General features: G+C 39.9%; 1 long non-coding RNA gene across 8 annotated transcripts in view; it reads right to left on the bottom strand.

Annotated features, from left to right (window-relative positions):
- The window catches only part of LOC107987007 (uncharacterized), a 70,552-nt gene that overhangs the window by 49,592 nt on the left and 6,928 nt on the right, over positions 1 to 14,032 (bottom strand). For 2 of the 8 annotated variants that reach the window (XR_007061534.1, XR_007061536.1), the window contains exon 2: positions 11,595 to 11,748. This is a non-coding gene — a long non-coding RNA (uncharacterized LOC107987007). Of the gene's footprint in view, positions 1 to 1,604; positions 1,705 to 6,010; positions 6,086 to 6,444; positions 11,138 to 11,594; positions 11,947 to 14,032 lie in introns of those variants that run through there. The other 6 variants (XR_007061537.1, XR_007061538.1, XR_001746507.2 and 3 more) reach the window with 5 other exon arrangements.

The raw sequence follows: 14,032 nt of genomic DNA, 5'->3' as shown, positions 1-14,032 counted from the left end.
TGGTCCCAGCTACTCAGAAGGCTGAGGTGGGAGGGTTACTTGAGCCCTGGAGGTTGGGGCTGCATTGAGCCATGATTGCACCACTGCACTCCAGCCTGAGTGACAGAGCTAAACCCTGTCTCAAAAAGATAAATAAGGCCAGGCGCAGTGGCTCATGCCTGTAATCCAAGCACTTTGGAAGGCCAAGGCAGGTGGATCATGAGGTCAGCAGATCAAGACCATCCTGGCTGACACAGTGAATCCCCGTCTCAACTAAAAATACAAAAAATTAGCCAGGCGTGGTGGCTGGTGCCTGTAATCCCAACTACTCAGGAGGCTGAGGCAGGAGAATCGCTTGAACCTGGGAGGCGGAGGTTGCCATGAGCCGAGATCGGGCCATTGCACTCCAGCCTGGGTGACAGAGTGAGACTCCATCTCAATAAAAATAAATAAATAAATAAATAAATAAATAAATAAATAAATAAATAACTGACTTAATTTTTAGAACAGTTGTAGGTATACACAAAAATAGAGCAGAAGGTATATTGAGCTCTAATATCCACCTCACACCATAGTACACACACTTCCTCTATTATCATCTTGTTAGTGTGGTAATTTGTTATGCTTGATGAGCCAATATTGATATTATTAAGTTCATGGCTAATATTAAGATTCACTCTCTGTGTTCTACCATTTATGGGCTTTGACAAATGCTTAAGAACATATATCCACAATTATAGGGTCACACAGAAAAGTTTCACTGCCCTAAAAATCTTCTGTGCTCCACCTATTCATCCTTCCCTCTGCTCAAGCCTCTGGCAACCACTGAACTTTTTATAATTCCATCTGCCTAGTTTTCCCTTTTCTAGTATTCCATATAATTGGAACTCTATACTATGTGGCCTTTTTGTATTGGCTTCTTTCACTTAGAAATACATGTTTAAGATTCCTCCATGTCTTTTCATGCCTTGGTAGTTCATCTCTTTTTATTCCTGAAGAATATTCCATTGTATGAATGTTTCAGAGTTAGTTTATCCACTTCTCTATTGCAGGATATCTTGGTTACTTCCAATCTTTGTCAGTTGTGTATAAGCTGCTATAACATTCATGTGCAGGATTTGAGTGGATATAAGTTTTCAAATATTTGGGTATATACCAAAGAATGCAATTGCCAGATCGTATTTAAACATACAAGGATGCAGGTGTCATGCACACAAATATGTATGTATATGTCATGCTCATATACAATTTTAAATGCATATATGTGTTCTATGGATATGTAAGTATTTCTCTATTTTCACAGAAATGTCACTCTAAATCAGTACCTAGGGAGGGTCATCATTTTCTTTATCTACAAATCAAGACACAGTATGAGTGGCTGCACCCAATTTGGTAAGTCCTCTATTATTGAGGATGTTTTCCTGTTTCCCTTGTCATTGTTGTTGCTGTTTTGTTTTGAGACAGAGTTTCGCTCTTTTGAGTCAAGTGGTGTGATCTCAGCTCACTGTAGCCTCCCGAGTAGCTGGGATTATAGGTGCCCACCACCACGCCTAGCTAATTTTTGTATTTTTAGTAGAGATGAGGTTTTACCATGTTGGCCAGGCTGGTCTTAGCTCCTGACCACAGGTGATCCATCTGCCTCAGCCTCCCAAAATGCTGAGATTACAGGCGTGAGCCACCATGCTTGGCTGCTTTCGTCATTTCAGACTGAGCTTGGAGAAGAACCTGAGGAAAAACATGACTTTAAAATTTTGATGAATGGAGAAATCTCTTTCCATTCACCTTCCTTTCCTCTATTTCATTCTTATTTTAAAATATGCAAACAAAGGTATGGATACATCAATTATTAAATAAACATCTGTGTGATATCTATCCAGGTGAAGAAATAGAGCACTATCACCACCGAGAAGTCCTCTGTATGCCCCTAACTGATCCTAAAGTCTTCCTTCCCCTTATTAGTAACAGATATAACAGATATCCACATTACCTGTGGATATCTGCCATCCTCTCCTTGGTTCTCTTTATAATTTTATTATGTATTTTATATATTTTTTTCTGTTTTGGAGATGGAGCCTTACTCTGTTGCCCAGGCTGGAGTGTAGTGGCATGATCTTGACTCACTGCAACCTCCGCCTCCCAGATTCAAGCGATTCTCATGACTCAACGTCCCAAGTAGCTGGGATTACAGGCATGGGCCATGTGCCTCCATGCCTGGATAATTTTTGTATTTGTAGTAGAGATGGGGTTTTGCATGTTGGTCAGGCTGGTTTAGAACTCCTGAGCTCAATGCCTGGCCTTATTATGCATTTTTTATATGCCTAAAGTAAAGTCTGATTTTGCCTGGTTTTTCTCTTACATAATTGGAGTAAAAGTCTGTATCCTGGTGCATCTGGCACCTTTTACTCAATATTAAGTATTTAAGATTCACACTTAGCATTGTTTCTGCATTCTATTAAAACAGTACACCAGCCAGGCATGATGGCTCACACCTATAATCCCAGCACTTTGGGAGGCCGAGGCAGGCAGATCACTTGAGGTCAGGAGTTCCAGACCACCCTAGCCAACATGGTGAAACTCCATCTCTATTAAAACTACAAAAATTAGGCCACGTGGTGGCTAATGACTGTAATCTCAGCACTTTGGGAGGCCAAGGCAGGTGGATCACAAGGTCAGGAGATGGAGACAATCCTGGCAAACACAGTGAAACCACATCTCTACTAAAAATAGAAAAAATTAGCCAAGTGTGGTGGCACATGCCTGTAGTCTCAGCTACTCAGGAGGCTGAGGCTGGAGAATCACTTGAATCTGGGAGGCAGAGGTTGCAGTGAGCCAAGTTTTCACCACTGCACTCCATCCTGGGTGACAGAATTAGACTCTGTTAAAAAAAAAAATTAGCCAGGTGTGGTGGTGTGTGCCTGTAATCCCAATTATTTGAGAGGCTAAGGCAGGAGAATCAGTTGAACCTGGGAGGTGATGGAGGTCGCAGTGAGCCAAGATCACGCCCTGTACTCCAACCTGGGCAATAGAGTGATAGTCTCAAAAAAAAAAAAAAAAAAAAAAAAAAGCCCAAGCGCAGTGCCTGCCACCTGTAATCCCAGCACTTTGGGAGTCCGAGATAGGTGGATCACCTCAGAACAGGAGTTTCAGACCAGCCTTACCAACAAGGTGAAACCCCATCTCTACCAGAAATACAACAATTTACCAGGAGTGGCGGCACATGCCTGTAATCCCACCTACTGGGGAGGCTGAGACAGGAGAATTGCTTGAACCCAGGGGGCGGAGTTTGCAGTGAGCCGAGATCGCACCACTGCACTCCAACCTGGGCGACTAAGCAAGACTCTGTCTCAAAAAATATATATAAATTTATATTTATATACACAAAATAAATAAAAAAATAAAAATAAATAAAACTACAGTACACCAGTGTGTATCCCTTCATTGTTGGTGGACATGTGGGTTGTGTTCATTTTCATCAGTTACAAATGATGCTGTTGTGAACATGTTTGTATTTCTATTTGGTTACCATTAGTGTGTATTTATGTACAGTATAAACCAAGAGGTGAAATCACGGTTACAGGGTAAACATATCTTCAGTTTTACCAGTTATTATGGGTTTCATCCCAATGTTAACACAGCAACTGACAGTCTTACAATGTCTGATAATTCCCAAATCTTCGCATTCTTCTTGACACTTAATTTCGTCAAAATTTTAATCTGAGTCTTTTGGTGGGTATGTGGCAATGATTGTGATATTAATTTACTGGGCCTTTTCTTCTCTATAACAGGCCCTGTCAAGATATATGTGTGGTGTGGCAGGGGTAGGAGCCCCTAGAGGTAGCATGGGCTCTGGAATCCTTAATCATCCTATGTGAAAAAGTTGGTGGGGCCGTGATTTTTTTTTTTTTTTTTTTTTTTTTTTGAGACAGAATTTCGCTCTTGTTGCCCAGGCTGGAGTGCAATGACACTATCTCAGCTCACTGCAACCTCCACCTCCCAAGTTCAAGTGATTCTCCTGCCTCAGCCTCCCAAGTAGCTGGGATTAGAAGCATGTGCCACCACACCCAGCTAATTTTTTGTATTTAGTAGAGATGGGGTTTCACCACGTTTGTCAGGCTGGTCTTGAACTCCTGACCTCAGGTGATCCACCTGCCTCAGCCTCCTAAAATGCTGGGATTACAGGCATGCACCCCTGCACCCTAATATTTCCTATGTGCAATGGTGTAGCCAGGGTGCAAAGCCAGTTCTTAATGATTCTGTCATCCAAATATTATACCTTCTCAATTCCCCTTGAGATATGCTCATTCCTCCATACAATTAAACAATCTCAATTACTCTTGAAGGAGCATAAAATCCTCCCTGTCTAATCATGGGTCTTTCCAAATTATTTGTTGGCTTGTGTTTAAAATATAAAAAAGAGAATGTAGATTTTGTTTTCTTCTTCCTGCTTAACCTGAACAAAATGTCATAGTTACCTCCTAGCCTGTTGCTAGACCAAGGAGAGTCACTTGAATAATGAACAAGACTGGAGGGAAACCACATGGATAATTTATCATTACACTATCATCACATACATGGAACTCATCAATGAAGCTTACGAAAAAAATTGAGTCATTTGTGGAAAAGTGTAAAGAGAATATAGGAGATGCCTCAAGTGAAGAGAAAAAAGCTGCAGAAAATAATTACAAAAAAGAGTGTTAAGATGTAAACACAAATTCAGAGATTCAGGAGCACAAAGGATTAAGTTAAGGGAAAAAAGAGTTATCAGTATTTTCTTATTCATTATGGAGAGCAGGATGAATTCTTAAAAGGTCAAATAATTGTGAGTCTGATATATCTGACGATAATTTGTATTTTGTATTTCTAATGTTGTAAATGGTTGTTAATTCACAGTCATTATTCCTATTTTCTTTAGACTAGTGACCATGAGTTTGACTGACAAAAACCCATTGGGTTAGTATTGTTATCTATGTGTGTTCATCATGCTAAGTGTTAAAATAAGTCCATCAATTTTTGTCTTGTGTTTGTTTTCATTTCATTTTAGTTTAGTTTCTTTGGGACAGGGTCTCACTGTGTCACCCAGGCTGGAAGTGCAGTGGCATGATCACAGCTCATTGCAGCCTCTACATCTCCAGGCTCAGGTGATCCTCCTACCTCAGCCTCCCAAGTAGCAGGGACTACAGGCATGAGCCACCACACCTGGCTAATTTTTGTATTTTTTGTAGAGATGGGGTTTTGATATGTTGCTCAGGCTTGTCTCAAACTCTTGGACTCAAGTGATCTGCCCACCTTGGCCTCCCAAATTGCTGGGATGACTGGCATGCACCACTGTCCTGGCCTGTTTTCATTTTATTAATTGGCTGATTCATTCAGAAACATAATTATCAAGTAAAATCTCACTCTTTCCTTAGCATTTCCCTTCCGTTTAGCTGAGAAAATCTATTCCTATTTTAAAACATATACGATTATTCGAGTGTGGTGGCACATGCCTGTAATCCCAGCTACTCAGGAGGCTGAGGCAGGAGTATCACTTCAACCCTGGAGTGATATAGTGATTATATATAATATATAACTATATAGTGATTATAGTTTATAATTTTAACTATATCATGTCTCCTGCCTCATAAGTACCACTGGACAAGTTCCCTTTTATGAACTCAGCTGCTGTCAGAGGTAAATGTATTTTGAAGTGGAGAACAAAGATAAGTGCAAAATTGGCATGGAGAACTAAGGTAATTATGAAAGTTCCAGATACAAAGAGAGAGGGCTCAATATGCCAGCAGTTCTCTTCCAATCCATCCTAGTGGCCTTCTGTTAGGATTGCCTAAATAATGGAGGAGATGGGTGCAAGACACACAAGTGTTCCAGAAGCATGTAAACAAGGTACAGAGAAGAGGATAAGATAAAATAAGATGAGATAAGAATATTAGGAATGCCTTGTTCAGAAGATTGCCTACAGAGGCAAAAGGGACAGTTTCATTTTGCTGAGGGAAACAGGGTGGTAAGAACCCTCCTGGGGAAGATCCCCACTTACCCTGATACAGAAAGAAGGTGTAAAATTTTGTAATGGGAGAGCATTAGGCTGAGATAGCTCCCATGGCCAGGGTTCCTGCATAGACAAAATGAAACAAGCTTAGCCCACCCACAGGTGGCCTGCTGAGTATTAGCTGGGTAATGAGAGACCTACCACCAGGATAGTTCAAATAATGCAACTGCCCACATTTTTGCCAATCAAATAATTTCTCTACTTTACTTCTATATTCACCCTGTAAAAGCCTTCCTTACAAACACCTCCAGTAGATCCTCCAACCACTTTCAGTTTGGAGCTGCCTGATCCATGAATCTCTGTTTGCTTAAATAAACTCTTTAAAATTTTAATATGCTTAAGTTTATCTATTTTTTTCTCATTTTAAAAAATTGAGATGGGATCTTCCTATGTTGTCCAGGCTGGTCTTAAACTCCTGAACTCAAGGGATCCTCCTGCCTCAGCCTCCTGAGTAGCTGGAATTATAGACGTGTGCCTCCACACCCAGCTTACATTTATCTTTAAACAAGGGTTTGACGTCTTTCTGAAATATATTTCTGTGAAGACCTGTACCCTCAGTGATATGGCAGGCTCATTTTAGACCACTGAGCACTTTTGCCTCTGGACTACAATTTGCCCTTTGTGACCTGCTCTACTAAAAAATTCAAGTGTAATTCAAGTTAGTTTACCCTCTGCTGATCAGGGGAGATTGCTCTCGGTGCAAGTTCAAAACAGGCACTCACACTTTCATTCATACCCCAAATCTCAGCATCACACAATACACCCATGTAATAAACCTGCAAAGGTACCCTCCGAAATCTAAAATGAAAGTTGAAATTCATTAAAATTTTAATTTCATCTTATTACAAAACAAAGATAAATTTACTGCTTTCCAATTTTGATATATATATTATACTGACATACACACTGTATTCTATGGTGAATTATGTTGATTGAATTTCACATTTTAAACTAACACTGAGTTACTTTGAAAAACTCTATTGGGTGATAATGTATTATGTTTTTAATATATTTTAATATAATTTGAAAATATTGTTTTAAAATTACATCTATGTTCCATAAATAAATAAATATGTAAAAATAATAAATGTTTGTATTATTCAAGTGAAGATTATAGCAATATTTTTGAATATCTACTTAATCTCAACTAGTTTTAATTCAGAAGTAGCAACTCCATAGAAATTCAGCTTATTACTACCTTATTACTCATACTTGTCTCCTTGAAGAAGCTTCATTGCTATCATCCAGTTTAGACTGGGATGTCATAAATCTCTAGACTGAGTAGTATAATATCCACTGTACAAATAAAATCAAATTATTATTATAATGTTATGACACCTCCAAATACAAAAAGCAAGCCCATGGATGTCAGGTTAAGGTATAGAGACAAATATTCCTACTTACTGTCTTTTAGGGCAGACATATCCCAGCCAATCTGATTGCAAAATGAAATGGAAACCATATGGTGGAAGGGGACTTGGGACTCACACAGATTGGATTTTCATTCCAACCCTTACATACACAAGCTGCATGACTCTGGGTAGATTGCATATTCTCTTAGACTTTCAATTTCCTCATCTGTGCAATGGCAGTTAATGCTTATGGGCTATGGCTGATGTGGGGATAAAAGAACCAACATGGATGCATGGGCAGGGCCTGGTCCATGGAGCAGCTGGCATCAATAAATGGAAGCCCCTTCCCATCTTGTCTTTGCGTGCACCACAAAATCTGGAATATGTGGGTATAAAAAGTACTCTTAAAAGAGACATAATTGGAAACTTTTGCAAAAAGAGATTGGAAAGGTGTCACATCTTGTGGCATGAGGAGCTGTGGGCATACACTTGAACTTTGTGCTGTGAGATATCCACAGAACTTCAGTAGCTGAAGAGAACAGTTTAGATGTCATCTTATTCATCTACCATAGAACTTCCTCTTCTTCTCTGAGATTTCTAGACAATAACTTTTACAGCTCTAATAATGCAGTTGTCTCACAATTGTTTGGACTATTCTAATAGATACAAAGCAGTATTTCACCAGCAGATGCTACTGCAGTTTGTATGATGATTTCAAACTGAGAATCTATTTAAAGTTATGCAATACTTTTTTTTGGAAATAGGGTGAAAGTAGTTTAAGTTTAAAATCCTATAAAATAGGTTTACAGTAAATAATTACTTGTTGCAATATCTATCATACTATCTTATATTCACACATGTGTTGGTGTCCTAATACATATGTATGAGAGTGAAAGTTACCTGAGGTCAGACACTGTGCCATATGTTCCCTGCACCACTGGTGCCTATTTCAGCACATGATATACAGTAGATGCTCAATAAATACTTTCACTTAAAAAATGCACTGAGAATAAATCTTATTAGACATCAAAATACATATGAGTACAATCTAGGGACATGGTCAGGAGCTCAAAATTCAATCTTATTTATTTTTTATTTGGAGACAGAATCTCACTCTGTTGCCCAGGCTGGAGTTCAGTGGCATGATCTCAGCTTACTGCAACCTTCCTCTCCTGGGTTCAAGTGATTCTCCTGCCTCACCCTCCAGAGTAGCTGGGATTACAGGTGCACACCAACACACCTGGCTAATTTTTTTGTATTTTTAGTAGGCACAGGGTTTCACCATGTTGGCCAGGTTGGTCTCAAACTCCTGAGCTCAGGCAATCTGCCCACCTTGGTCTCCCATAATGCTGGGATTACAGGTGCCAGCCACCACGCACAGCCACAAAATGTTTTAAAGTAGCTTCAAAACCCATTTGCAAATAGATGTATTCATAACAAGCTGCAAACAAGAAAACATTGAGCTTCATATAATAGAAGGATTCTGCCTGGATTTGCATGTGGCCCCATCATTTGTTTGCTGTTGGGCCATGGTCAGGTTACGTAGCTGCTCTCTGCCTCCACATAGGCTTTATGCCTGTGTATCCCTCATCTACAAAATGGGAATAATAAGAATATCTAACAGTTAGAAGTGGAGAAAATATATGTAAAGACCTTTGAAAAGGGCTTGTGAAAGCTCAATAATTGTCCTCAATAATTGCTCTCAATAATTGTCAGCTATCATTCAATAATAATCATAATCATGAAAATGTATGACTCAAAGAAAGATTCTGACTTCATATCCAGCTTCCCAAAAGAATCAGACACTGGACCTGCGAAAAGAATGACATTGAGATGTATTTTCACATTGCTAAGTTGGTTTTTTCTTTGCCATTCAATTTCTGCAGTCCCTACTCTAAGCCCATGGTCCACCTTTTTATTTTTCCTCCTAAGATGTCTTCCCTTCTTGTAAGATTTACTTTTCCTTAAAAAGGGCCCTTTTCATCCACCCACTCTTTTGCCCTTCCCAGAAGTTGGTTAATGGACACAAAAATACAGTTAGATGGAAGGAACAGAAAAATTTCTAGTGTTCAATAGCACAGTAGGGTGATGATCATTAACAATAACTTATATATTTCAAAATGAGTAGAGGAAAGATGTGGAATGTTCTCAACACAAATAAATGATAAATGTTTGAGGTGATGGATATGCAAATTATCCTGATTTGATCACTACACATTGTATGCATGTATCAAAATATCACATGTACCCTACAAATATGTATAATTGTCATGTATCAATAAAAATAAAAAGGCCTATTTCTCTTTCCTTCCTCCCCGGATTCCCTCCTGTCCCAGATGTGTGTTGTTCCTGGTGCTCTCCTACCCCCCGTTCAGCCAGCACTGAGCCAGCAGGAAGGATCTCACAGGTCATATCCTGAGATCAACCTTCCACCACTTCAGGTAATAATCCTTCTGCTTTTAGTCATTTATATCCTTTGGTTCATACATATTTTGAGTCAAGTACCTTCTAACTACTGATCTACATAATATTCCTTGGTTTTTAAAGATAATACAAAGTGGATTTTAGTAACAATCTTGAGTCACCACAGAAGCTAATGAAGTTGGGGATTCCACAAAGCCATCCAAGCATATAAAGCCCATTTCCTTGGGTCCCTTTTCCTTAGCTCAAGGCCACAAAAAATCAGAACGTAAATTCCAGCCCACATTTGCATTATGTCTAAATAATTATGAGTTATAAATGAAGCTAACAAATAGTTAAATATGTTCTATTCTCCTATTTCGATAAATATACTGCCATAATAACCCACAAGGTCAAAGTTGAGTGTAGAATTCTCTGATTTCTTGGTGCTCTGCACAGGAATGTGGTAGTAAAGGGAGAGCTGATCATCAGCCCCAGGCTAAACTTTTTTCTTTCATCGTAGGTAGCCCTGTCCTCACTTGAGAAGCTTTGCAAACCCTTGTGTGGGGAACTCCCTAGGCCCCATGCAAGCTCCATCCACAATTCTCACCCCTTCAGAAAGCAGATCCTTGGGCACCATTTGGACAAGCACAGTTTGCACTTTGAAATGGACCCAGGGAAGAGGCCATGCAGGCTCAGGCACATTTCGCCAGGTCCCTGAGTGCCCAGCATGTGCCCTAGAAGAGAGGGTGAAGCTCTGAGTGGGCCAGGGTACAGTCAGTGGAGGGCCAGAGAGGCACCTTCTCAAGTGCAGGATTCAGGGCAGGGGTCCTCTTGCCCAGATCGATGGCTATGATTGCTTAGTGCAATGGCGCCTGCGTCATGTTTTCTCAGCTCACCTTTCATTCAGTCTCAGACACCGTGAGAAGTTCCATGGAAGCACAGGCTTCTCTTGTGCTGCCAGCAAACTCAAGATACACTTTCTGCCCTAGGGAATCTCCATTATTGTACGATTTTGCCTGAGCACAAATACAGCCCAGAAACACTTGCAGGTTAACAGCCTCAGGGGAAGACCTCAACCAGTGTGGGACAGGTGGACAAATGCTCCAGGCTCATGTTTCAGGTGGGCATTTCTGGATAACTTTCCGGAGCCTCTCGGAAGGTCCTGCAGAAAAAACTGCATGGCAGGAGCCTCAATAGCATGCCATTATTTTGGCTTTTCTTTCTTGCCTGGCTCACTCTTCCCACTTCTGACTCTTGCTTCTTGGAATCACTTTCCAAATAAACCACCCACACCGAAGTCCTTACTCCAGCTCTGCTTCTAGGGATACAGGCACACCTTGGAGATATTGCAGGTTTGGTTCTAGGTAACACAATAAGGTGAATGTCACAACAGCGCAAGTCACACGAAATTTTTTGCAAGTCACACGATATTTTTTGCTTTCTGGTGCATATAAATGTTATGTTGCCAGGCATGGTGGCTCACGCCTGTAATCCCAGCACACTGGGAGGCCGAGGTGGGTGCATCACCTGAGGTCAGAAGTTCAAGACCAGCCTGGCTAACATGGCGAAACCCTGTGTCTACCGGAAATACAAAAATGGTGGTGCGCACCTGTAGTCCCAGCTACTCAGGAGGCTGAGGCAGGAGAATTGTTTGAACCTGGGAGGCAGAGTTTGCAATGAGCCAAGATTGCACCACTGCACTCCAACCTGGGCAACAGAGCCAGACTCCATCTCAAAAAAAAAAGTTATGTTTAAGTTACTGTAGTCAATTAAGTGTGCAATAGCATTATGTCTAAAATATAATGTATATACCTTACTTTGAAAATACGTGATTGCCAAAAACTGCTAACCATCATCTGGGCCTTCAGTAAGTCATCATCATTTTGCTGCTGGATGGTCTTGTCTCAATGTTGATAGCTAGTGACTGATCGAGGTGGTGGTTGCTGAGGGCTGGAGAGGGAGTGGCAATTTCTTAAAATAAGATGACAATGAAGTTTACTGCATTGACTGACTCTTCCTTTCACAAAAGATTTCACTGTAGCATGCTATGCAGTTTGGTAGCATTCTACCTACAGTAGAATTTATATCAAAATTGGAACCAATTCTCTCAAACCCTGCCACTCTTTTATCAACTAAGTTTATGGGATATTCTAAGTCCTTTGTTGTTCTTTCCACAATGTTCACAGCATTTTCACCAGGAGTAGATTCCATCGCAAGAAACCACTTTCTTTCCTCATTCATAACAAGCAACAATAATATAGTATTTTATATATGTTATATATGTATTATTATATAATATAAATTATATATTATATAACATTATATAATAATATATAATATTATATATTGTATATTATTATATTAATTATATTATATAATATTATATATTGTATATTATTATATTAATTATATTATATTATATATTTTATCATAATATAATATGTATTATAATATATATTATATAAGCAGAAATGATATCCCTTGGTTTTTAAAGATAATACAAAGTGGATTTTAGTAACAATCTTGAGTTGTCACAGAAGCTAAGGAAGTTGGGGATTCCATGAAGCCATCCAAGCATATAAAGCCCATTTCCCTGGGTCCCTTTTCCTTAGCTCAAGGCCACAAAAAATCAGAACATGAATTCCAGCCCACATTTGCATTACGTCTAAATAATTATGAGTTATAAATGAAGCTAACAAATAGTTAAATATGTTCTATTCTCCTACTTTGATAAATATTCACAGTATATTATGATAAATATATTGCCATAATAACCCACAAGGTCAAAGTCGAGTGTAGAATTCTCTGATTCCTTGGTGCGCTGCACGTGAATGTCGTAGTAAAGGGAGAGCCGATCCTGAGCCCCAGACTGAACTTTTTTCCATCTAATTCCATTTATTTCCATTAAGATTGCAGCAATTTGGCCGGGTGCGGTGGTTCATGCCTGTAATCCCAGCACTTTGGGAGGCTGAGGCAGATGGATTATCTGCAGTTGGGAGTTTGAGACCACCCTAACCAACATGGTAAAACTCCTTGTCTACTAAAAATACAAAATTAGCCGGATGCAGTGGCACATGCCTATAATGCCAGCTACTCAGGAGGCTGAGGCAGGAGAATCAATTGAACCCAGGAGGCGGAGGTTGTGGTGAGCCGAGATTGCGCCATTGCACTCCAGCCTGGGCAACAAAGCAAAACTCCATCTCAAAAAAAAAAAAAAAAAAAAGATTGCAGCAATTCACTCACATCTTCAGGCTCCACTTGTAATTCTAGTTTTCTTGCTATCTTCACCACAACTGTGGTTACTTCCTCTGCTAAGGTCGTGAACCCCTCAAAGTCATTTATGAGGGTCAGAATCAACTTCTTCCAGACTCCTATTAATGCTGCTATTTTTACCTCCTCTGGTGAATCATGAATGTCCTTAGTGGCATCTATCATAGTGAATCCTTTCCAGAAGGTTCCGAATTGACTTTGCCCAGATCCATCAAAGGAATCATGACCTGTGGCAGTAACAGCCTTATGAAATATATTTCTCAAATAATAAGACTTGAAAGTCAAAATGATGCCTCAATCCATGGACTACAGAATAGATGTTGTATTGGCAGGCATGAAACCAGCATGCATTTCCCTGTACATCTCCATTAGAGCTTTTTAGTCACCAGGTACACTGTCAAAAAGCTGAAGTATTTGAAATCAATCTTTTTTTCTGAGCTGTAGGTCTCAACAGTGGGATTAAAATACTCAGTAACCCATGCAGTAAACAGCTCTGATATCATCCAAGTGTTGTTGTTCCATTTATAGAGCTTGGGTAGTGTAGATTTAGCATAATTCTTAAGAGGTGCCCTAGGATTTATGGAATAGCAAATGAGCATTGGCTTGTAACAAGAAAGTCAGCCTGTCCTTTAAATCTTTTTCTTTTTCTTGATATAAGGTCTCACTCCATTACCCAGGCTGGATTGCAGTGGCATGATCTTGGCCCACTCCATACTTGACCTCCTTGGCCCCACAATCCTCCCACCTCAGCCTCCTGAGTAGCTGGGACTAGTAGCATGCACCACCATACATGGCTTATTTTTATTTATTTATTTATTTATTGTTAGAGACAGGGTTTCACCATGTTGCCCAGGCTGGTCTGAAGCTCCTAAGCTCAAGCCATTCCCCCACTTCAGCCTCACAGAGTGCTGGGATTACAGGCGTGATCCACCCTGTCTGGCCTCTAAATTCGTGTTATGGAGACTCATTTTCATGGTTAAAATGT

The sequence above is a fragment of the Homo sapiens genome, chromosome 9 (assembly GCF_000001405.40).
Source record: "Homo sapiens chromosome 9, GRCh38.p14 Primary Assembly".
In the NCBI taxonomy this organism is placed as follows: Eukaryota; Metazoa; Chordata; class Mammalia; order Primates; family Hominidae; genus Homo; species Homo sapiens.
This window is presented reverse-complemented; position numbering and strand designations above follow the sequence as displayed.